Source organism: Homo sapiens, chromosome 14 (assembly GCF_000001405.40).
Source record: "Homo sapiens chromosome 14, GRCh38.p14 Primary Assembly".
Taxonomy (NCBI): Eukaryota; Metazoa; Chordata; class Mammalia; order Primates; family Hominidae; genus Homo; species Homo sapiens.
Genome location: NC_000014.9, coordinates 95,381,450 through 95,405,314, shown reverse-complemented (window position 1 = coordinate 95,405,314; position 23,865 = coordinate 95,381,450). Strand labels below are relative to the sequence as shown.

The window sequence follows — 23,865 nt, the reverse complement described above, 5'->3', positions numbered from 1 at the left end:
TGTTAACTAAACGTGGTATACATGTTTATTTCCACAGCAGAAGCATCAAACCTGGGGTCAGGAACTTCAGGGTTAAAACGCTGTTTCAGTGAGAAAACTAGATTTACCCTTCCTTGTTTTAATTTAGCACCTTTTGTGGGAACCCAGCCCACTGTGAGAGTAGCATTAAACACACACGGTTTCTAAATCTTTACTGAGTTCTCTAGTGTTTCTGGCTGGACGACTCATTCATTTTTATGACCGTGTGATTTTTTTCACAACCAGGCGTCCCATGGAAATAATTATCTTACCTCAGTTTTCATCCACGGCTTCCAAGCCCAACCATGACATGGTTAATTGGAGAGATCCATCACCTTCTCGTGGAATCCTCTTGGTGAGAATGTTACTCAGCTACTTGGCCCTGCCAGCCTCCTCTGTCACTGCCTCTGCAGCCCTGGCTCTCCGTCCTGCTACCTTTCATTATGCTGCAAAAGGAGAGACCCCAACTTGCTCAGGGCTTCCGGGCTGGAATTCCGTATTGCAGTTGCATACTGGCGTGCATCCTGGTCCCTGCTCCCCGCTCCAGCTTGGTTTTCACTGTGGCCTGCTGCTGCTAATTTCTAATAGGAGGGCTCCTCTACCAATGGACAGCGAGGGAAATTGCTCTAAATTGTTCTGAGACATGGCCTGTCTCATGCTATCTGTTTCCTCTCTTTGGGCTTGTGCAAATCACTGAGGCCCTTTTCCTTTGGAATGAGGTGATGGGATAACAAAAAGTAAAAAGCAACAAACCACAATGCTGAATGCAATGTGGAATCCTGCATTGCATCCTGGAACAGTGAACAGGCATTAGTGGAAAGGCCAATGATACACAGATCAAGTTAGCAGTTTCATTAACGCTATTGCACTGGTGTTAATTTCTTGGTGTTGACAAATTCCCCATGGACATGTAAGATGTTACCGTTAGAGGAGACTGGGTGTGTTTGTCTATTTTTGTGTAGCTATAAAGAAATACCTGGAGCTGGATATTTATAAAGAAAGGAGGTTTAATTGGTTCACAGTTCTGCAGGCTGAACGGGAAACATGGTGCTGGCATCCACTTCTGGTGAGGTTCTAAGGAAGCCTACAATCATGGCAGAAGGTGACAGGGAGCCAGCATGTCATATGGCCAGAGTAGGATCAAGAGAGAGAGGGAGAAAAGTACCACACTCTGTTAAACAACCCGATCTCTGTGAGCAAGCATTCACTTATCACCAGGGGGATGATGGCGCTAAGCCACTCATGAGCAATCTCCCCCGTGATCCAATACCTCCCACCAGGCCCCACCTCCAGCACTGGGGATTCCATGAAATCTGGAAGGACAAACATCCAGAGTGTATCACTGGGTGAAGGTTATGGGAACTTTGTGCTGTTTTTGCACCTTTTCTAAATGATTCCAAATAAAAATTTTATTTATTTTTTTTTGAGACGGAGTCTCACTCTGTCGCCCAGGCTGGAGTGCAATGGCGCCATCTCAGCTCACTGCAAGCTCCACCTCCCGGGTTCACTCCGTTCTCCTGCCTCAGCCTCCTGAGTAGCTGGGACTACAGGCGCCCGCCACCACACCCAGCTAATTTTTTGTATTTTTAGTAGAGACGGGGTTTTACCATGTTAGCCAGGATGGTCTCGATCTCCTGACCTCGTGATCCACCCGCCTTGGCCTCCCAAAGTGCTGGGATTACAGGCGTAAGCCACTGCGCCTGGCCAAAAATTTTATTTATTGTTTGTTCCATTTTATTTCATTTCTATTTTCATTAGAATGAAATGAATAGAATCTTATCAATAATCTGTTTTGCCAATCTAGTAAATGAAAAGATCTGAATTTTTAAAAGCATTGAACATTTCAAAAACTGATTTTGCAGTTTTTAATGATATCTTTATAATCAAGAAATAGTAAAAAGTTACATGCTAAATAATGGCATGTTCCAAAACAGATTAGTCTTCCCTTCCAAGTGGCAAATTCAGCAGTATTTAGGACAAGCACTGTATGATTTGAACACTAGAAAAATGTCTATTTCCTTCTTTTTTCATCAGCTTACATATTTTCTTTCTTTCCACACTTAAAATTCTTTTCTTTTAATGGACAAATAGTAATGTTATATATTCATGGGGTACACAGTGATGTTTTGATACATATAATGTAAGTGATCAGATCAGGGTAATTAGCATATCCAGCATCTCAAACATTTATCATTTCTTTGTTTTGGGAACATTCAGCATCCTTCTTCTAGCTATTTGAAACTATATACTGTTGTTAACTATAGTCAGCCTACAGTGGTGTAATATTCTAGAACTTATTTATCCTATCTAGCTGTAATTTGTATCATTTAACAAGTCTCTCCCTATGCTTCCTTCCTCCTACTCTCCCTAGCTTCTAGTATCCCATTTTACTTTTTACTTCTATGAGATCAACTTTTTTTAGCTATCACATATGAGTGAGAACATGTGGTGTTTAACTTTCTGTTCCTGGCTTATTTTGCTTAACATAATGTCCTCTAGTTCTATCCGTGTTGCCACGAATGACGAGATTTCTCTTTTTTTAATGGCTGAATGGTATTCCATTGTGTATATATCCCATATTTTTTACATCCATCTGTTGTTGGACACCTACGTTGATCCCATATCGTGGCTATTGTGAACAGTGCTGCAATAAACATGAAGGTGCAGATGTCTCTTCAATATAATGATTTCCTTTCCTTTGGATAAATTCCCAGTAGTAAGATCACTAAAAATTTTATTTTTAAAAATATGATTTTTTATGGCCCTGGAAAAAAAATGTGAAGTTTCTCTTTTGCTCTTAACTTACTCCCTTAAAAGTGACGGTGAAACTGTTCTAGGAACAGGCTTGGAATCATCCTGATCAGTGTTTGGCTCCAAGCAACCAAATCTGCAAGGCATTGGACCTTAACAAAGTTCTCCCATCTTCTGGAATACTTATCTCAAAGGAATGTGGTTGGGCGGATTAAATGGGATAGTATGTGTAAAGGGCTTTCACAGTGCTCAGCCCATAGGACACACTCCATAACTGGAAGCTATTTATACCACCCCATCCCAAATGCCTTCCTGGGTCATGCTAGGCAGGTTCTGAAGAAGTATCTTCTTTTACATTCTCTAGGATGCATACTCTGACCCCAAAGTACTGCCCTGCAACTACTGCCAGGAGTCCGGGATCTCCCTTATGGGCTTACAAGTGTCCTGAAGATGCTTGTTAAGGGGAGAGTCTAGAATCAGTCAGCAGTCAGTTGCAAAAAACAGAATCCACTCTAACTAGCTTAAGGAGAAAGGGATTTATGATGGGGTATAAAATGGCTCACAAAATTGTTGAAGAACAGACTCTAATCTGAGATTTCAGGAGGAGCTCAGCCTCAGGACCATGCTGCCTCTTTCATGGTGGAGAAAGTTGCTGCTGCTGCCCCGCAGGAGGCTGCCAGACAGGGAGAATACTGCAGCTGCGGACTAAAGGCCTCGCCTCCGTTGCACTGCAGCAAAGGGGTGCCCATGTCAAGCTGTCTCCTCATGCACCTCCCTCCCACACTCAGCATCATGAAGGAGAGTTGGAATTGGAAAAACCTGGTTCACATTTAGAACACAGCAGCAAAGGAGGCAGGGATATGCCATGTTATTTATTTTTTTAAAAAAATGATTTTTTTTTTAGAGACAGTCTCCCTATGTTGCCCAGGCTGATCTCGAACTCCTATCTCGGCCTCCCAAAGTGCTAGGATTCCAGATGTGAGCCACCACACTCGGCCAATGCCATTTTAGCTTTACCCTTCTGCATTATGGGAAAACATCTTGCAAGGAGTTTAATGGGCAATTAATAAGCAAATCTACAGTATCCCCCACGGCCCATGCCTCTGGATACTTCATGTCCCGGTGTACCCCAATTTCCATATTTAAACTTCCAAGCAAAAACAGCAGTGGAAACAATAGCTCCCATATTCCACCTAATGCACCTACCCCCGTATGAGCAAGTGAGTGCTTAGCAAAACGTCCCATTTATCAATATATCCATTTCTGTGCTCTGTTAGTTTTCCTCTGGTTCATTCACAATTTTACTTGATGTCCTGAAGTCTGTGAACTAAATTATGAGGTTAGCTGTCGCATCCCTGCCACCAGGCCTGCTTGTTCATGGGCAACTGAACTGACATCCAGTGATGTCTGGACACCTGATTATCAAGAGCCTTCTCTCCACAGATGGACTTTTGATGATCATTCAAACAGTACATACATATCGTTATACCCAAGATCTCGCTGAAAGGGCTACCCATATATATTTTCCTCAAACTTCCATGTTATCAATCCCCATTCTTGTCCTTTTCGAGCCCTTGACCATCCTTAAGGAAAGAATCAAGTAAAGAATATTTAAATAAAAAATATCACTGAGCTCTTTTTTTTTTTTTAATTTTTTTTGAGATGGAGTCTCACTCTGTTGCCCAGGCTGGAGTGCAGTGGCGCGATCTCGGCTCACTGCAACCTCCACCTCCCAGGTTAAAGCGCTTCTTCTGCTTCAGCCTCCCGAGTAGCTGGGAACTACAGGCGGGTGCCACCACACCCAACTAATTTTTGTATTTTTAGTAGAGACACGGTTTCACCATATTGGCCAGGCTGGTCTCGAACTCCTGACCTTGTGATCCACCCCCCACCCCCCCACACCCGGCCTCCCAAAGTGTTGGGATTACAGGTGTGAGCCACCTCACCTGGACTATTAAGCTCTTATTATACATCAAGAATAAATAAAATGGTGAACAAAACAGAAACCCCCAAACCCTGCCTTCCTGGAGCTTACTCTCTGGTGCTGGGTACTGCCCATTCTTCTGTGTAGATCTGTACTCTCAGTCATTTCTCCTTCTAGGCAAAATGAACTACTAAATACACATTTCAAAGACAGTGGGGGACGTTCCTTCCCCATTGTCTTTCATCAGCAGCCTTCACGGGGGCTGTAATCCTATAGCATTATACATCTGACTAGTTGCATTATATCAGGCAAGGTCAACTAGGCTCAAATACTTTTTTTTTTTTTTTTTGGAGACAGAGTCTCACTCTGTCACCCAGGCTGGAGTGCAGTGGTGCGATCTCAGCTCACTGCAACCTCCGCCTCCCAAGTTCAAGCGATTCTCCTGCCTCAGCCTCCAAAGTAGCTGGGACTACGGGCACCTGCCACCACGCCCGGCTAATATTTTGAATTTTTAGTAGAGATGGGGTTTCGCCACGTTGGCCAGGCTGGTCTTGAACTCCTGACCTCAAGTGATCCGCCTGCTTGGCCTCCCAAAGTGCTGGGGTTACAGGTGTGAGTCACCATGCCTGGGCTCAAATTCTTTATTCTGATGCCAAGTGAAGCTGTGAATGCCAAGTGGATGCCAAGTGAAGCTGTGGGGTGGGCTGAGGGTTAGGGGTTTTGCAGCAGAAGTAGTCATCCTGGGGGCTGTGGACCATTGGTAAGGCCTGCATGTTTATTTCCCCCAACTCCCAATTCATACGTTGAAATGCTAACCCGCAAGGTGATGGTATTAGGAGGTGAGGCCTCTGGAGGGTGATTAGGTCATGATGGTGGAGCTGTCATGCATGGGATTATTAAAATGACCCCAGAGGGAGAGCTTGCCCCTTCAACCATGTGAGGACACAGCAAGAAGGCACCATCTATGAACCAGGAAACGTGCCCTCACCAGACACCGAAACTGCTTGTGCCTTGATCTTTGACTTCCCAGCCTCCAGAACATGAGAAATAAATTTCTGTTGTCTATCAGCCACCTAGGCTATGATATTTTGTTATAACAGCCCAAATGGACTAAAACACCCACATACACATGCAGCTCACAAAATGACCAAATAAGACACTGGGCAAAGATTTCAGGCCTGGGCATTCATTCAGCAAGTGGACCATGGCACTGAGGACAGGCAGTGTGAGGTTACCACCCATGAGAAAACTGGACAAGCATCTGCCGAGGTCCCTCCAGCCTACAGGGCTCCTGCTCCCCTGAGCACTGCTCCTGCTATGGAGTTCTTCTCCGTTGCCTCATTTTGGACCATCCTGGAAAATGGACCCTCTCTCTGACCACAGTCTGTGATTGAGCGCCATACACCTGGGATTCCAACCCCCAATCTCTGCAGGCCAGTTTGTGACCTCAGCTCCGCACTTCTCACACAACACCGCCATGGCTCTTTGTTTGCTGCCTGTTCTGTGCTCTCGGCTGCTGGCACTGACCTTCTTGTGTTTGCTCCTGTTTGGGGTTTCGTAAGTTCAGATTTGTCTACTTGTTTGTTTTGATTCTCAGCGCCTCGGACAGGAGTAGACCTGTGGGTCAAATCTAGCTGCCACTAGTTTTCACACAGTTCAAGGAGTAAGAATGGTTTTTAAATTTTTAAGTGGGTTACATTTTACATGGTTATGTAAGTACCAACAAAATAGCTTTAATTTTGCCTCTTGCGCTACAAAGTCCTAAAATATTTACTCTGGTCCTTCACAGAAGCGTTTGTCAACTCATGCTCAAGGACATCGCTCGTGCAGTTTCCCACCTGATTAATCCATGTAGCCAAGCTGTCCATCCCCAAATCCCAGCAAGGTCCTTCCCTATGACCAGCTCCCCAGCAGGCTGGCTGTGACCTCCCTGAAGGGGTCCAGGGAGAAAGCACACTGGCCGGGGAGGCAGGAGAAATCGGTTCCAGCCTCGCACTCATCACCAACTTGCTTTGTGACTTTTGGTAAGTCCCATTCCCTCTCTGTACCTCAGATCCCTCTCTGTCAAACGGGGAGTTTCGATGTGAATCACCTTGGAAATCTCTCACAGCACTGCCAGTCCTCGCCAAACCATTGTTCTCCATAACCATGAGGAACATGGGAGAGAACAAGGCATGGGACTGTCCCAGGGACCCCAGGATCGAGCCCACGATCAATTCTTCATCCTAGGGCATGGGTGACAGGTCACGCGGGCACACAGACACACATGCTATACACTGTAGACACGTGCACGCACCTGAGTGCCTATGCACACACACCCCTTATTCATGCACCACACACACAGAGGCACACATAGACACAGACACACTCCACACACACACACCTACACATACACCACATAACTGTGTGCAAGTACACGCACCACACACAACCATGCACCACACACAGAGGCACACACGGACACGGACACACTCCATACACACACACACACACACGTACACATACACTACACACCTGTGTGCAAGTACATGCACCACAAACAACCATGCACCACACACAACCATGCACCACACAGAGGCACATATAGACCTAGACACACTCCATACATACACACACTTGCACACATACAATCACACACACCATGCATACACACACATGCCACACAGACAAAACACACACCACACACAGATATATGCACACATGCCAAACACACCCACCACACCACATACAGGCATACACACATGGATGCACCACATACAGACACACACATACACATCATAGACACATGCACATGCTTGCACATACCCCCCACCTGCATACATGTGTGTACACACCCCCCCACACACCAAACACACACAGATGCACACATACACTACACATACAGATACACTACATACCACACACAGACACCACAGAGGCACATATGGATACAGATAGAGACAGTCAACATACACAATTGCCAGACATGCAAGCCATATACACAGGTGCGCACCCACACCACACACACAGAGACCTACATAGACACAGGCACATGGTGCTCTGGGCAAAGTGTTGTGACCGTGTCTCACGGCTTGTCAGGTTGGGAGCCGTAGCAGAGCTCTGGGGGTACATCCCTGGGGGATCCCTCCTCGACTCTGGTCTGATTAAGTCAGCTCTGCAGAAACCAGAAAATTAAATTTGGGGCCATGTCTGTCTTCCGGATATGGTGCATAATTTCAGGATTACTCTGGGTAAAGAAAAGAGAAAGGGCTCTTTTCTTTTTTTAGGGTTTGGAAAGGAAAACATGGTTGTGTGGGCTAACGTGTATTGCTGGGCGAGGTCTTCAGGGGTATGGTTCGGAGCCATGAGGGAGGCGTCTGTGCAAGCAGCAAGCCTTCCTTTTTGGGGCCAGGTAGGGGGTCGGTAATGCAGAGGTTATAAAGAAAGAGATTGCATTTGATTAATGAAATATTTTCTTACAATCATGTTTTTGCTGAAATGCATGTTCAACCCTGACCAAAGGCCAGGGAAGCCAAATGCAAAACATACAGTGTGCGGTTGCCAGAATATCTCCCAAGCTACATTTTAATATATGTCAAAATTCAAATTTACCCTGGAGTCAAGGAAGTCAGAGAGGGAGACCTTTGCCTTATGGGTACTGCATACCATGCCTAATAAAATGATAATGCAACCTTCACAGTTTGCTAGGCACTTCCACCCACAGTCTTTCATTTGATTCTTACAATAATGTCAAATGCTTTTTCGTCTCTTCCACTGAAGAGTAAAACAAGGCTGAGAGAGGTAGAAAGGTGACCCCAAGATCATAGCCTGAAAATGGCCTTGCTGCCGTCCAGCCCTGCCCTCCAGTGATCTCTTGTTCCAAACCTGCAACACAGCAACGAAGCAAACCCACTGTTTATGTCTCCTCATTTGCAATCCCAAAACTATCAAGAGCAGATGAGAGCAAGCCCTTAAGGTTAATAGAGCAGAGTTAGGGAACCCTGAGCAAAATCTCTTATCCCTGAGGTACCTGATTGGTTATCTGAATGGCTGCCAACACAGAGCACTGTGTTAAGAGGGATTCTGAGGCTGTGATCAAGGAAAGAACTGCATGATCTCTTGGTGATATCTCCCATGACCGTCGTAGGGAGGGGCTTATTGTCATCTTCACTTTGGCCTCAGTTTCATTATCTATAAAGGGGAAGGAATTGCTCTCAATCTGGGTCTGTGAACTAACATGCCTACAGAACCCAAACAGGAAACATCTGAGCAGACCAGATGTATTAGTTTGTTCTCGCACTGCTATAAAGAACTACCTGAGACTGGGTAATTTATAAAGAAGAGAGGTTTAATTCTCTCACAGGTTCTACAAGCTCTACAGGAAGCGTGGATTGGGAGGCCTCAGGAAACTTACAATCATGGCAGAAGGTGAGGAAGAAGCAGGCACGACTTACGTAGCTGAAGCAGGAGGAAGACAGCGAGCCTCTGCTACACACTTTTAAACAAGCAGCTCTCATGAGAACTCACTATCACAAGAACAGCAAGGGTGAAGTTTGCCCCCATGATCCAGTCACCTCCCACCAGGCCCCTCCTCCAACATTGGGGATTACAATTCGACATGAGATTTGGGCAGGGAAACAAATCCAAACCACATCCCCAGACCAAGTGTAAAAACATCCTGAAAGAGGGAAGGTTGGGATCTTTGTCCAATCATTGCCATGTGGGGATGTGGGCTTTGGATTAGAGTGACAGTTTCTCAATCATTCAAGATTTCACATTATAATGTTAAAAAAATTTTTTAGGTGGCAACTAATTTGAATATTGTTAAAAAATACCTGTGCTAACATGCGTGTGTACGCATGTGCTGTCAGGCTGGGTGTGGCCCACGGACCATTGCTTTTCAAGCTTTGGTTTAAATAGTCCCCAAGATTCCTTTCATTTCAAAAATTCTAAAATTCTGTGTGGGATGCAGGTCCACAGACTAGGTGCATGTGAAATGTTTCTCAATAGATCTAGAGTTCTAAACTCAGTCCCTCACCCACGTGGGCCGAGATTAGTTTGAGCACCTGCTGTGTGCCTATTGGGCTTCTACAGACATTGTCTCACTCAGGCTTCATGACTAGTCCAGCTGGCTCTTCTCCCTTATTTTGCAGCTGAAGACACAGGCTCAGAGAGATGACTAATTTATCCAAGGTTGCCCAGCACATAACCAAACTGAAATTTACTCCTTGGTGATTTCTCAAGATTTTGGTTTCATGATGGAAATCCCATGACATAATCAGCACTCGGTGGAAACTCAATGATAAATGGGTAAAGCTTGGGAGGGCTTCACCCCAATATTGTATCTAGATCCACTGTGGAATTTCCAGCATTCCCAAGGATTGTAACTTGATCGTCTTCAATGAAGAACCCAGCAGGCATTATCAGGCTGGGCCGGTACTGGCAGCCCCTGGGTGAGCAATTTCTGGCAGGCATCCAGCCCATAAAGTGTTCTAAAAGGTCGCTTGGTTTTGGCTGTTGGTAGAAAGTGGGAGAGATGGAGAGGCCCCGAAAGCTGGGGTCTTTCCCATCTGTTCCACATTACAATGCTGTTAAATATGTTATGATGTCCATTGTACCAACAAATACAAGCAGAACTAATCTCTTTGTTTAAGGTTCCTTGACTGACATCATTGGTAATTAGATGACATACTTATTTTCTCATGACAAGAGTGGACTGGTTCAGTGAGAGGTTTGGAAAGAGTACAGGCTCTCACCCACGAAGTTTAGTGGGAAGTATCTTGATGCTGATGGATGTGAAAAACGACAGCTCCAGGGATGGGGATGGAAAAGAGAAATGCTTTGCCATTGTCTCAGCCACAGAGATGAAATCTAGAGGAGACTAAAGACTTTCTGAGTGTCTATTCATTCATTCATCCATCCATCCATCCATCCATCCATCCATCCATCCATCCATCCAATTATCCATCTATCCATCCATCCATCCATCCATCCATCCATCCATCCATCCATCCATCCTTACATATATCCATACATCAAGCCAGCCATCCATTCACCCATCCATCTATCCAACCATCCATCCATCTTTCCATCCATTCATCCATCATCCATCCATATATTCAACCATCTATTCATCCATCCATCCATCCTCTGTTCATCTCTCCAACCATCCATCCATCCATCCATACATACATACATACCTTCAACCCTCCATTCACTCATCCATCCATACATCCACACATCCATACATCCATTCATCCTTCCATTCATCCATCCATCATCCAGCCATCCATTCATCCAACTATCCATCCATCCTTCCATCCATCCATGCATCCATCCATCCTTCCATTTGTCCATCTTTCCATCTACCCTTCCATACATGCATCCATATCCCCATCCATTTTTTTATCCTCATTGCTGGAAGGGAGCCACAAGCTGAGGGATGCACACGGTTTCTCGAGGCTGCATAAGGCAAGGAACAGATTTTCCTCTAGATCGTCCAGAAGGAACATAGGCCTACTGACTTGATTTTTAGTACCATTTTAGGACTTCTGAGCTCTGTAAGTGTAAGAGAATAAATTTGTGCTATTTTCAGACACCAGGTATGTGGTAGTTTGTTACAGCAGCAATAGGAAACTCATACACAAACTCATGGGGTCACCAGAAGCATTAAATTAGCTAATATATAAAAATGCAGTTAGCACCATGCCTGGAGCATAATAAATGCTCAAAAAAGTAGTACTGACTCTTATTTTTGTGGGTGCTCTTATGATATATTTTGGGGATGTGGCCTTGCCCTCTGAGGAGCCCTCAGTCTATTGTGACACAAGAGAAGTAAATTTCTGGGGGTTGGATAAAGGGGAAAGCAAAGAGAAGCCCTCAAAGTGAGGAGGGCTGTGGTTTTGCTGCCTGAAACTCATTCACCATGCGAGCACTGGGGCTCCAGAGGGATAAGGGGTGAGTTAACACCTGATCCTAACGTCAGGGTGATGTCGCAGCAGCATAGCCAGATCCAAAGCAGACTGCAGGCCTGATGGAGAGGGGGCTGTTCACATCTAGCTGGGGGCCTGATTCTTAGCACATCATCCCCCAGGCTTCTGGGCAGCTTGTAATGTTCTTCCTCATGCATTGACATGTTTAAACCTTGTTTACTCCTCATAATAATCCTCTCTTGTTTTCTAAGCACTATTTTTGTTTCAAAGTGATAATAGCTAAATTTGTTTCTGATTGAAAGTGTAATGCACGCTCATCGAAGCAAATTTGGTAGACAAAGACAGTGAACTTTGATATTTTCTACAACAATACTTATGATTAGTCCCAAATCTTCACACTCCCCCTACCAGCTCCCTGTGGCATGTGCTTAATCAGGGGCTACTGCTCCAGGTGGGATGCTCGCCATGTCTTGGCTCTAGGCTCAGCTATGCAATTTGTTTTGACCAATGAGATGGGAGCAAACGTGACAGTAAGCACAGGCCTGAAAGCACTGGCACCTCTGCCACCTCCATGAGAACATGCTGGATTAGCATGTTCTCATGGCACATGGGGCAGAGATCCTCACGCCCATTTTCAGAGACACGTGGCCTATTTGCCCCATCATTTCATTGGACAGCCAGCTGGCATTGAACCTGTTAAGTGAGCCCAGTTACAACCAAAAGAATCACAGCTGAGACCAGCCTGCCTCACTGAACTGCGTATTCCTGGGATAAACAAATGCTTATTGTTTTAAGCCACTGGATTTGGAGAGAGTTTGTCATGTACCACTATTGTTGTAATAATTAGAATAATGATTACAACCGCCACCAATGACATGTACTGAAGACTTACTGTGTGCTGGGTTTGTTACTAAACCCTTTTTAAACATCAGTGTTTCTTACTAACATATCTAGATAAAAGAATCACCTAGAAGTTTGCAGGAAGGCCCCACCTTTACTTAATCAGAAAATCTGAAGAGATGCCTGGGAACCTGCATTCTAACATCTCTCTCTTGACTTTTGGGCACCATACGCCTGGGAACCATTAACACTTGTTATCTTGTTTCAGCTATACAGCATTCCCATGGGGCAGAGATCCTCATGTCTGTTTTACAGACAAGGAAAGTGAGGCTCAGAGGAATTAAGTTTGCTAGCTCGAGGTGGAGCCAGAACTTGAACCCAGGCTTTATGATAGGCAGAGATCAAGCCCTTGGTTCATCATCAAGGCTGCCTGCTGTGGTCAAGGGCTAGCTTGGTATAGCTCCCCTCTTGGCCTGACATTCTAGGGGCTGCCTCTGGTGACCAGCAATAAGTGCTGTTCCGGGCTCAACTGAAGCTGGGGTTGCTCCAGAAAGAGGTGAGAAGTGGCAGGGGATTAAAGTCTGCTTTCTTTGCTAAAATGGAAATTGTTGTTAAATAAGAGCATAAATATTTAATTACCCACAGTGGCTACTCTTTGCATAACAATTTCAAGTCCAGATTCAATATGAAGCAAGCTTAACACAAACACAACACCTGGGTGCGAGTCCCATACCTTCTGGCTAAAGTCAGCTCTTCCTGCTTACTCACTCCAAGGCTAGTTTCCCATGGTCTGCCCTGAAGAGAAGGCTTTTATTTTATGCTCACTTCTGCTCCCAGGTGATGAAAAGTGCCAGCTACCTGTCCACAAGGGCTTCTCACACCACAAATGGCTCCAACATTTAAAATCTCACCTTTTTGCTGCTAAAAGCCCTTAGAGCACAGTTCACTGTCTGAGGTAGAGGTGATGGTGGTGTGGTTTCCCCATGCCATTGGCTGTACCTCATGACTCCCAAAACAGCAAGTTTCAGGGGCTACTTTTCCCTGTTCTCTCCATGACTTATGTCCCTTTGCCTAGATTTTCTCCTCTTCTAAGCTCAAAGCAGAAAAGATGCAGCCATCTTGCATTACGTCTGTCTCTGCGTGCTATACGAAGGCTAATATACAAATCCCTGCCCATGCTGGGATTCTTTCTTCTGACTTAGGCTCCAGCCTGTCCTCTTGCTCTCTGAGCTGTTCTCTTGCCCCTCAGATGGTCTGTGGCAGCAAATCACTTCTCAGGAAAGCCCTGCTGCGTTTAACACTTCATCACCTCCTCTGAGAAATATTTCTGGGATCTGCTACTTCAAAATGGCAGGCTTATTCTCTGTCTAAACACTTTAAAGATAAGAGCAACAGAACCTTGAGACAAATTCCATAGAAATTATTTCAGCTGGGTGAAAATGTGAAATGGCTTAGCATTTGAGAGGCTCACAGATGGCCAAGGATGACTGGAGTGTTGGGGCAAGAGACAGGGTGGTGAGACATGAAGATGGAAAGAAAGACAACAACCAGATCATGAATAGGAAAGTAACAAAACGAAAACAACCACATTAATAGTTATAGTAGCTAATTCTCACACTGTGCTTATCATGTATTGGATACCTATAATAACTCATTTAATCCTCACAATGCCTCTATGAGGCAGGCACTGTTATTACTCCCATTATACAGATGAAGAAATGGAGGCTTCCTTGGTTCCTGCCATTTCTAAGTCAAATCTTCCAGCCTCTTGTTACTAAGGAATGTCCCGGCTACCTCTACCATAGCCTTTCGGTACATCTCCTTTTGGGAATTATCTTAGTTCATTGTTGTGCTGCTATAACAGAATACCTGAGACTGGGTAATTTATAATGAACAGAAATGTATTGGCTTATGGTTCTGGAGGATGGGAAGTCCAAGAACAAGGTGCTGGCATCTGGTGAGCGCCTTCTTGCTGTGGCACCACATGGCAGAAGGCATCACATGGTAAGAGAGAGAGGGAAGTAGGCCAAACTCATTCTTTATAAAGAAACCAGTCCCACAATAATGGTGTTAATTCATTCATGAGGACAGAGCCCTCATGACTTAATCACCTCTTAAAGGTCTCACCTCTCAACACCATTGCATTGAGGACTAAGTTTCTAGCCTGTGAACTTCTGGGGACACATTCAAACCACAGCAGGAATGTTAGCAAAAACTGACATTCGCCGCTTGCCACCCAAGATCCTAACCAATGTGGGGCAAGCCAAGGAGTCACCATTTATTCCACTAACTAGATCTTTGTTTACTCCCTTGCTCCTGAGTCTGCCTCCCAAATCCCAAACGTGTTCATTTTCCAGATCCCTCTCAGCCTCAACAGGAGACAATTTTGCCTCCCTGCTCTATGGACATTTGGTGATGTCTAGAGATATTTTTAGTTGTTACAACTGGGGAGGGGGTGTTACTAGCATCTAGTGTGTGAAGGCCAGGAATGCTGCTAAATGTCCTACAACACATAGGACTGTCTCCGATGACAAAAAACTATCCAGCCCCAAGTGCCAGTTGTACCAAGATTGAGGCATCCTGCTCTAAGCCTGGGGTTTTGCTTTGTTCTTGGAACTGGCCCCTAATATGAGGGTCCTATTTCTAAATTTCCCCCTTTAACTAGAACTACGAGAGCTCATTCCTGCCTCCACTTAATGCCAGCAAACTACCTTTGGGCATCCCATGGCTCTCTGTGGATCCTGACTACTTGCTGGTGTGGTCACCTGTTCCTTGTCAACATTGCCACATGCCACTGGCCATCTGGACATCCTCCACCACCCACAGCAGGTCCACTCCACCAACCTGCCCTCCCACAGTGCCAGCCTTGACACATGGGCACAACTTGCACCCAGCTCTTGACCAAAACCAGCTGCTCTGCCAAGACACAAAAGGGACCCCTGCCGGAGTGAGGTCATCTCGCTCTAGGACACAGTGTCCAGCTCAGACAGAACACCACCCACCAGCTTCCTGCTGAAGCTATTCATTGCCCAGGCTTCCAGAGACCCAATTCCCTGGAGTTCCAGTGCGGGGGCGAACCCGGCAGCAGAAAGAAAAGACTCTGTGACCCGTGCCTAAAAATAAAAATATTATTCAATTTCATGTCTGACAGACTGAATGTCTGACGCAGAAAGCAAACCCATGGCAACCGGAAAACACATTGGAAACCTTTTCACTTGGGTGGATCAGAGTGAAGTAAGGCTGGGCCTTCTGGAGGCAGAGAGTTTCTCAGCTCAACCCTCTGGTTTTTGGGCTGGGATAGGGGGTGTCTGTGGGTATGTGGGAGGGAGAAAGGGAGTGGACCCCACTCGGTGGGTCTCATTTGTTTGGGCTTGCCCTGCCTTCCCAGGATTGCTCCCTCTCTTGAAGGACACGCAGCTTTAGAAGTAAATTTCCGGCCGGGCGCGGTGGCTCACGCCTGTAATCCCAGCACTTTGGGAGGCCGAGGCGGGCGGATCACGAGGTCAGGAGATCGAGACCATCCCGGCTAAAACGGTGAAACCCCGTCTCTACTAAAAATACAAAAAAATTAGCCGGGCGTGGTGGCGGGCGCCTGTAGTCCCAGCTACTTGGGAGGCTGAGGCAGGAGAATGGCGTGAACCCGGGAGGCGGAGCTTGCAGTGAGCCGAGATCCCGCCACTGCACTCCAGCCTGGGCGACAGAGCGAGACTCCGTCTCAAAAAAAAAAAAAAAGAAGTAAATTTCCACTAGAACACAGGGACCTGGAGGGCAAGTCAATACAGATACTTCATTTGGGTCCCCAGTTCAAGTGAGCCTCTTTCCTTTTTCACCCACGTGAAACTGTGGGCTACGGACAAGCCAGACAGAACCACCTTTGTACCCCAAATACTTCCCTGGCTTTACGTCTTGCTTCTACTCTCTGCCTTGTTGGAAACATCCTTCCCTCTCCTCTCTGCCCCACTAAATCTGACTCATCTTCCTGGATCTAGCTAAACTGTCACTTCCTCCACGAAGGATTTCTAAGTTTTTTCTCTCCACCAGCCTTATCCCAACCTTTGCAGGCAGCAGTGGTCTCTGCCCACCCAGGGTTCCCATAGCATTTTGTCAATGTGTATATTGGGCCTTCTAGCTCAGCAAGGCAGGGCCAGGAGCAACTTGGAGGAGAAGTCAGGTGAACCTGCTCAAATCCCAACTCTGCTCCTAAGTGGGGATGTGTTACTTTTAGCATTTCACCTCTGCATGCCCTAATTTCCTCACCTAGAAAATGATGTCCCCAGTGCCTACTTTGTAGGGCTGTTATGAATTTTAAGTAGTAAGTATGTAAGGAATTGCCCATACACCACAGTCCCCTGAAAACACTGGCTGTCATTATCATCAGCTTCAGGCAGAAAGAGCATGGACTCTGGAGTTGGACATGGGTTTGAGGCCTGGCTTCACCGCTTAACGGGTTTTAGGAGTTGAATTGTTTCCTCCAAAAACAACGCAGTGAGCTTTTACTCCCAGTAACTCAGAATATAACCTTATTTGGATATAGGGTCATTGCAGATGTAATCAGTTAAAACGAGGTTGAGCTTTTAATCCGATATGCCTGGTGTTCTCATAAGAAGATGGCCCTGTGACCATGGAGACAGAGGTTGGAGTCAGCAGCTACAGCTGCAAATGCCAGGATCACCAGCAACTACCAGAAGCTCCGAGACAGGCAGGGAGTGGGTTCTCCCTCATGGCCGTCCAAAGAAACCAGCCCTGCTAAGACCTTGATTTTGGACTTCTGGCTTCCTGAACTATACAAGAATAAATGTCTGTTGTTTCAAGCTACCCAGTCTGTGGTCATTTGTTACAGCAGCCTAGGAAACTAAGACAACAGGTGTTCACCTCTTTCAGCCTTGGGCTCCCCAACCATAATCCAGGGCTTAAGGGAGATAATGGATGTGAAAGTACTGGACACCCAGAAGATGCTGAATTAATATTAATAGAATCTGAAACCCAACAACCTTCAGAAAAAGGAATACAAAAGTGGGAAGATACATGCATTCCCAGCCCAGGCTAGAAGGAGGCAGTGTGGACCCCAAACGAGAAATCCAATGAGCAATGCCTGCTTTATGTTTATGCATGTATTTATACTCTGTGACCTTTCACAAAGGCAGACAGTATGCTGGAACACTCGCCAGACAATAAGACAGAAAGGGTACCAGCCGGAGAGAGTGCAGATAGCATAGAAAGATGAGGTGGGGAAGAAATCTCTCTGAACGATCCAGGAGTCCTGCCAACCTACGCCCCCAAACGAAGTGGTGCGGAGGTCATCTGCTGTTTCTATTTGTCCAACATCCCTTCCTACATCTTGAAATAGGATCGTCCTTCCTCCTGCTGACTTATCCTCTGTGCATGTGATTCTAGTACAGCTGCCAATCAGTCCCTGGGCAAAGGAAGGGGCATGTGACCCAGGCCTTGACAGTCAGAACCTCCCACCTTCCTGAACATAGTAATGGCAATAATACAGGAAACACAGGTGACCCAATTGACCAGTCCCAAGCTGGGATTCTACCTATGGAGGTTGGAGAAAGAAGACGTAAGCTTAGCCTGAGACTAAGTTGGGATGACATACACCTGAAGCTCCTGCAGCTGTGGCCCTTTCTCCTACTGCGCGGAGGAACTCATCTACAGTAGGAAAAGCTGGGCCCACATGCAGAGGGGAGCAGAGGGTGTGTGTGTGCAGAGGGGAGCAGAGGGGGTGTGTGTGCAGAGGGGAGCAGAGGGTGTGTGTGTGCAGAGGGGAGCAGAGGGTGTGTGTGTGCAGTGGGGAGCAGGGAGAGAGAGAGAGACAGAGAGAAAGAGAAGAGAGAGAGACAGAGAGAAAGAGAAGAGAGAGAGACAGAGAGAAAGAGAAGAGAGAGAGAGCAAGAAAGAGAAGAGGTCTGATGACATTATTTCCGTCCTAAGCCAGCTCCACTCACGGACTTCTCAGTTACATAAGTCAATAAATTCCCTTTTTCACTTTAACCAGTTTGAGTTAAGATTCTGTCATCCACAGTGAGAAAGTCCTGCTCAGTCCAGGAGGGCTGGTAGACAGGAAGGGGGATCAAAGAGTGAAGCCTCACAGGAGGGAGCAGCCCCAGGGCGCCCAGAACCCTTTGAAGGACGGAGGATTCTGTGCCTAAGAGCAGGCGCAGGGAGGGGCTTGTTTGGGGAGTGTTTGGAGTAGCTCCCAGGGTGGGGGGCTTTTCAGAAATGCTTACCTGGGGCCTAGCATGGTGGCTCAAGCCTGTAATCCCAGTAATCCCAGCACTTCGGGAGGCTAAGACAGGCAGATCACCTGAGGGCAGGAGTTCAAGACCAGCCTGACCAACATGGCAAAACCCTATCTCTACTAAAAAAAAAAGAAAAAAATACAAAAATTAGCCGGACATAGTGACATGTGCCTGTAATCCCAGCTACTTGGGAGGCTGAGGCAGGAGAATCGCTCGAAATCAGGAAGGCAGAGGTTGCAGTGAACCGAGATCGCACCGCTGTGTTCCACCCTGGGTGACAGAGTGAGACTTCATCTCAACAACAACAACAACAAAAGAAATGCTTACCTGGGCATCCTATCTGTGTTCTGGCAAGGAGGCCTCAAATCTGTGTTCTGTGCACCCTGCTCAGAACTGTCACCATCACCTCCCTAGGCCGGCTTTAACCCGCTCATTTTAGTAAGTGTCTAGTGGAAGAGTCCGTTCAGTTGCCTGCCAGGCTCACCTCTGCCTCCTGACTCAGCTGTCCGGGAAGCTTCCATATGGAATCTTCTTCCATAAGCCCTGAAAGGGGCTGAGGGATTCAATACCTATCAGAGCCTTTTGGACTCTTTCTTTCTTGAGAATCTCAGCTAAGTGACATGAAGACAGTGGACAGTAGAGTTGTGTCAGAGCCAGCAGGGAGGGAGGCTGGGACTGTGAGTAGGCTGGGAAAGCCAGTCTGTGGTCAGTTGAGGGGTGCGGGGGGATGGAGCCACCAGGAAGGGGCAGATGAGCATCCAGGTGGCCTCTGGAAAATGCGTCTCGATGTTGTTCTAGTTCCCACAAGGCCGTGCTGTCCTTCCCACGCCTCCTTTCTGGGAGATTCCTTTCCTCCTTCAATAACCTCTCTTGACTTGAGTTAGTTGGATGGGGGTTATATTCCTCGCAGCTGAGACACAATGGCCACGCCTTCTCTGCCTCAGGTAGGCATGCTGGCTGCCAGCAACAGAAACCAACTCTGCCTGACACAAGCAAGAGGGAATTTATTGGAAGCCTGGCAGCTAAACTGTCTGGCTGGGAATAGATAGGTGCTGGCTGTTCTGGAAAGTCTGAGAGCATGAGCTTCTCGACAGTCTCCCTGGGCAGTGGAGGTGGAATAGATGAATTCTAACCCGGTTCCTGTCCCTGGGTCAGAAGAGTGGAGCCAACTGGTCTCCCTGAGACTGTGCATCAACTATTTGCCTGGGCTTGGTGGTGAGGGGAGGATCTGGCCCAAGAAGCTCCTGGGTGCTCTTAGGCTTCTGTAGGGAAAGGGAGGTACATTAACTTACACCCCAGCAATAAAGCCCAGGGTTTGGCAGATGTGAGTTCCCCAAAGGAACTGGGAAGCAAAAACACACACAGATGCAGCTGTCCAGCCTCTATGCGTCGGGGTCATTCTTGCCCCTTCCTCACTCTGGCCCCCAGTTGCCCAGACCTGGGCCAGTGGAGAAGGAAGAGTTCAAGATACACAGCTTATATTCCATACAACTCAGAGACAATGGTGCCATCTTCATCTTCCGGAAGAATGGGCAGGGGTCCATGGAGAGACCTTCCAAGTGGGGAGGAGGGACAGATGAGGAGTGCAGAGGGCAGGATTGGTACCAACTTAGAGGACGGATGCTTTTTTCTGCTGAGACCGGTGGGAGGGGAACAAGTGGCCATGGTTGGACGTGGGCTGCAGGTGTGCGGAGGTCAGGTGTGAGTGACACGCAGGAGCCCTGCAGTTCCTTCTATGAATTGGGTGTCAAGTCTTCTCCTGAGAGTGGAGAGGCTGGAAGAGAAGGAGGTGTTTGTGGTTTAATGGAGGCTTGAACACGCTGATGAAGGATGAAATGCAGAGAATGGCCCAGAATCAGTCCAACACTCACCAAGGCATGGAGGGCCCTGGTGGGTAGAGACCACAAGTTTTTGGTGGCATCAGTTGCCCTTGGCGGCCAGGCAAGAAATAAAGCGGGTAGAGGGCTGGGTGTTTACAGAAATGTAGGAAGAAGGCAAAGGAAAAAGACATTGAGGATGGGGGATAGGAGACTCCAAGGAAGGAGGGTGGGGCTGATGGAAGAAAATGGGGGATCCAGATACTGGCGGTGCAGATGGGCAGGAGGCTGCTCAGGGAGGGGCACTGGTGATCTTCCATATGATGATAGTCTCAGGTGTGCAGGGAGTGGTGGCCAAAGTGGAGTGGTGGGGCCCTGGGAGCCAAGGGCTGGGTCGTGCACATGTCTCCTGAAGTCCTCTGGAGAAAGACAGGCCTGGAGAGGAAGAGAATACCGAACGCCAGGGTGAACTCCTCATTCTTTGGAGTCTCCAGTTATTTATTGGCAAAGTGAGTTGAGAGAGGTGAGACAGGGGAAGGCCCCTCTGAAGCGTTAAGCCTCATGAAGCTCCAGGGTGCTGCCCAGAGGGTGAGTGGCCACACCCAGGTCCGGTGCTGAGAGCCCAGCAGATGTCAGGAAGAACAGAAAACTTGCAGCCTGGGCCCTCTGCCCCAGCTCAGCTGTACCTACACCACCCTGGCTCAGGAATGCCTCCTGTCCCCTTGTCCCAGAGGCCCGCCTGGCTGGCCCTTCTCAGAGAGCACCCAACAATCACATGGCTGGCCGCCCGCCTAGCCTTGTGCATCCCCCACCTTTTGTGTAATTATGCTCTTGAATATGCCTGATGTGAGCGGCAGTACACGCAGTGGTTAAGAGCCGGGAGCCAGACTGCCTGGAATCAGACTGTAGCGCCACAGTCACATGCTGTGTGACCGGTGACAAGTTAATTAACCTTGCTGTGCCTCAGGACCCCATCTACATGATGGGGGTTACATCAAGAGCATCTGCCTCATGGGCTTTTTGTGAGTGAGCATTAAATAAGACAGAATGCAGAAGGCCTTAGCAGAGTTGGAGGACAAGCTGGAGAGGGGGGCTCCTGTAAGCCAAAGTTTTCATGGAGTGACTGTCACAGAGTAAGACAAGGGCCTCGCAGGACAAGGCCTGAGGAGTGGCCACACGATTTGGGGACAAGGAAGCAGCCTGGTACTCCTGGTTGAGTTTTTTTAAAAAACAGGACAGACTTGTGAATGGTCTTAAAAACTTTGAGAAGAAAGGCACCTCCCTCTGCTTTTCTCTGTGTCTGCAGGTGGGCTCCCAGTCTCAGCCTCCCCAGCAGGTCTGCATGGGAGCCTCCAGAGTAACAGACCTCCCAGGCTGGCTCTGCCCGTCACCGGATTCTTTCTTGAGCACTCCTTCTATTGCACACTGGACGGCCTCTGCTTTGCAGGAAACTGAGGAAGGGCCAAGGTGATTCTGATGCAGCCAGACTCACAGTGGAAACAAATCCATGGAGCTGAGGGTGCACCTGCTCCCACCTATGCCCACCCATGAGCTTTCAGAAGCATCCACTGCAAGGATCACTCCCGCAGGAAAAAACTGATAGACCTGGAGATCGTTTGAGCACACTGACCTTGCGCATGGCTCACCCTGGGCCCACCCCATCTTTGAGCCTGGAGGGCTCCCCAAACCAAGGGCTCCTCCAAAGTCACCATCAGGGGCCCTCCTTCTGCAGACCATGCCCTGCCCTTTGCCCTTCACGCCCCACTCCATTCTGTCTCTTGCATAATGACTGGCAATCACATCGCATTTACCCTTCACAAAGCTCTTTCAAGTCCATTATTTCATTGACCTTCTGTCTCCCATCCAAAGACTGTTGGCTTCATGAGGGCTAGCACCAACAAGTAGACAGCTGCTGCAAAGGATGCTGGGCTGTGGCAGAGGTGCTGGGGCCATGCAAGCACCATGCCAGGAGCAGGAGGTCAGCACAGGCTTCTCGGAGGAGGTGACACCTGAGATCCACTGGATGAGTGGCATCTTGACTATAGAAAGTTTTTATGCAATCATGACTTTGCCACATGTTAACGTGCTTCTTTGGGTTATATAATGAATAGAGGAATTGAGACATGTCATAATTACTGGTGGCCTCATTGTTTCTGGACAACTTCACAGAAAATGCCAGAATGTATATAGTAGTGTCAGGAAATACGTGTGTGTGTGTGCGTGCGCATGCATATTTTAATCATATAAAGACTACTGGATTTTTCAGACTCCTCCAAGCCAGAGACAAATTATCTGCTATGAGATTTTCATTTGCCCCCAACATTTTTATGCTGAAACTTAAGAAGAGGCTTGTGCTGCTCCGCGCAACTACCCCCAACCCAGGTTTTTTCTAGGTAGAAGCTATGGATTCAGACAGACCTGGGCCTGACTTCATGTTTGACCTCATGACTTCACGTTTGACCTCCTGACTTCACATTTGACCTCAGTCAACTTCTCTGAACCTCCAGTTCCTCCCTTGTGATTCTTCCTGGGGTTGCGATGAAGCCCTGTGTGTGGAGGCATCTAGCCACATGCCAGGCCCATAGAAAGTGGCCAATAAGTGTTGGTTTTCTCTTTCCCTGCAGCTTGCTTTTAAACGCTGGCACTGTCTCAGCTCGGTAGAATGCAGCATGGTACCTGCACAAAGATGGCGCTGAAAAAATGCTTGGTGAATGAAATAGACTCAGGGGGAGATAAACCACTCAGAGAACACAGGTTGATAAACGAATCCTATTTAGGAGTCTTTTGCTTTACCATTTGATAGAAACCACGATGCTAGGCTTTGAGGACACTCTCATCTTCCCCAGTGGCTGTAAATCCTGCCAACAAGTTATCAGATAGTAAACGTTTTTCTTGTGAAGTTTTAGCATTCTCTTGAACAATAAAGGTGACCCTTTGGCCTCACTTATCACATTTCATGATAAAGTCAGGCCTCAATGATGGGCCAGTTTGGAGATGATAGACACATCTGCTTGAAAGCAGAAGGTAATACCCATTCAAGACAAGGGCTTCAAATGGGAGAGTTCCATGCTATATAAAATCCCAGCTCCGTTTCCACCACAATAAACTGCTTTAGAAACTCAAATCTGATTTGGGCCTCAAAGGAGAAAATTAAAACCAGAAACAGAGATGTGAATGCCATATTCTGTTTGGTTTGTTTTTTTGGGTATGTGTGGCAGCATTTTAAAAGGCAGAAATGCAAACATCCTCCTGTCAGGATTCTACTCCAACAAGGTTAAACTTTTCACTGAGCTATTGTTCTCAACAGCAAATCTGTGACTTCACAGACTTATAAATATTTTGCTGATGTGCGTGAAGTT

At 47.1% G+C, this 23,865-nt stretch overlaps 2 long non-coding RNA genes across 2 annotated transcripts; both read left to right on the top strand.

The window, feature by feature from the left end:
- Positions 1-208: 208 nt before the first annotated feature.
- LOC105370640 (uncharacterized) lies at positions 209-9,152 on the top strand. The gene is made up of 3 exons (XR_944174.3): positions 209-373; positions 6,483-6,717; positions 9,036-9,152. It is a non-coding gene; the product is annotated as an uncharacterized LOC105370640 (long non-coding RNA).
- Positions 9,153-11,436: 2,284 nt separating this feature from the next.
- On the top strand, positions 11,437-15,585 carry LOC105370639 (uncharacterized). Its single transcript, XR_944173.3, has 3 exons — positions 11,437-11,629; positions 12,713-13,000; positions 15,110-15,585. It is a non-coding gene; the product is annotated as an uncharacterized LOC105370639 (long non-coding RNA).
- Positions 15,586-23,865: the final 8,280 nt, after the last annotated feature.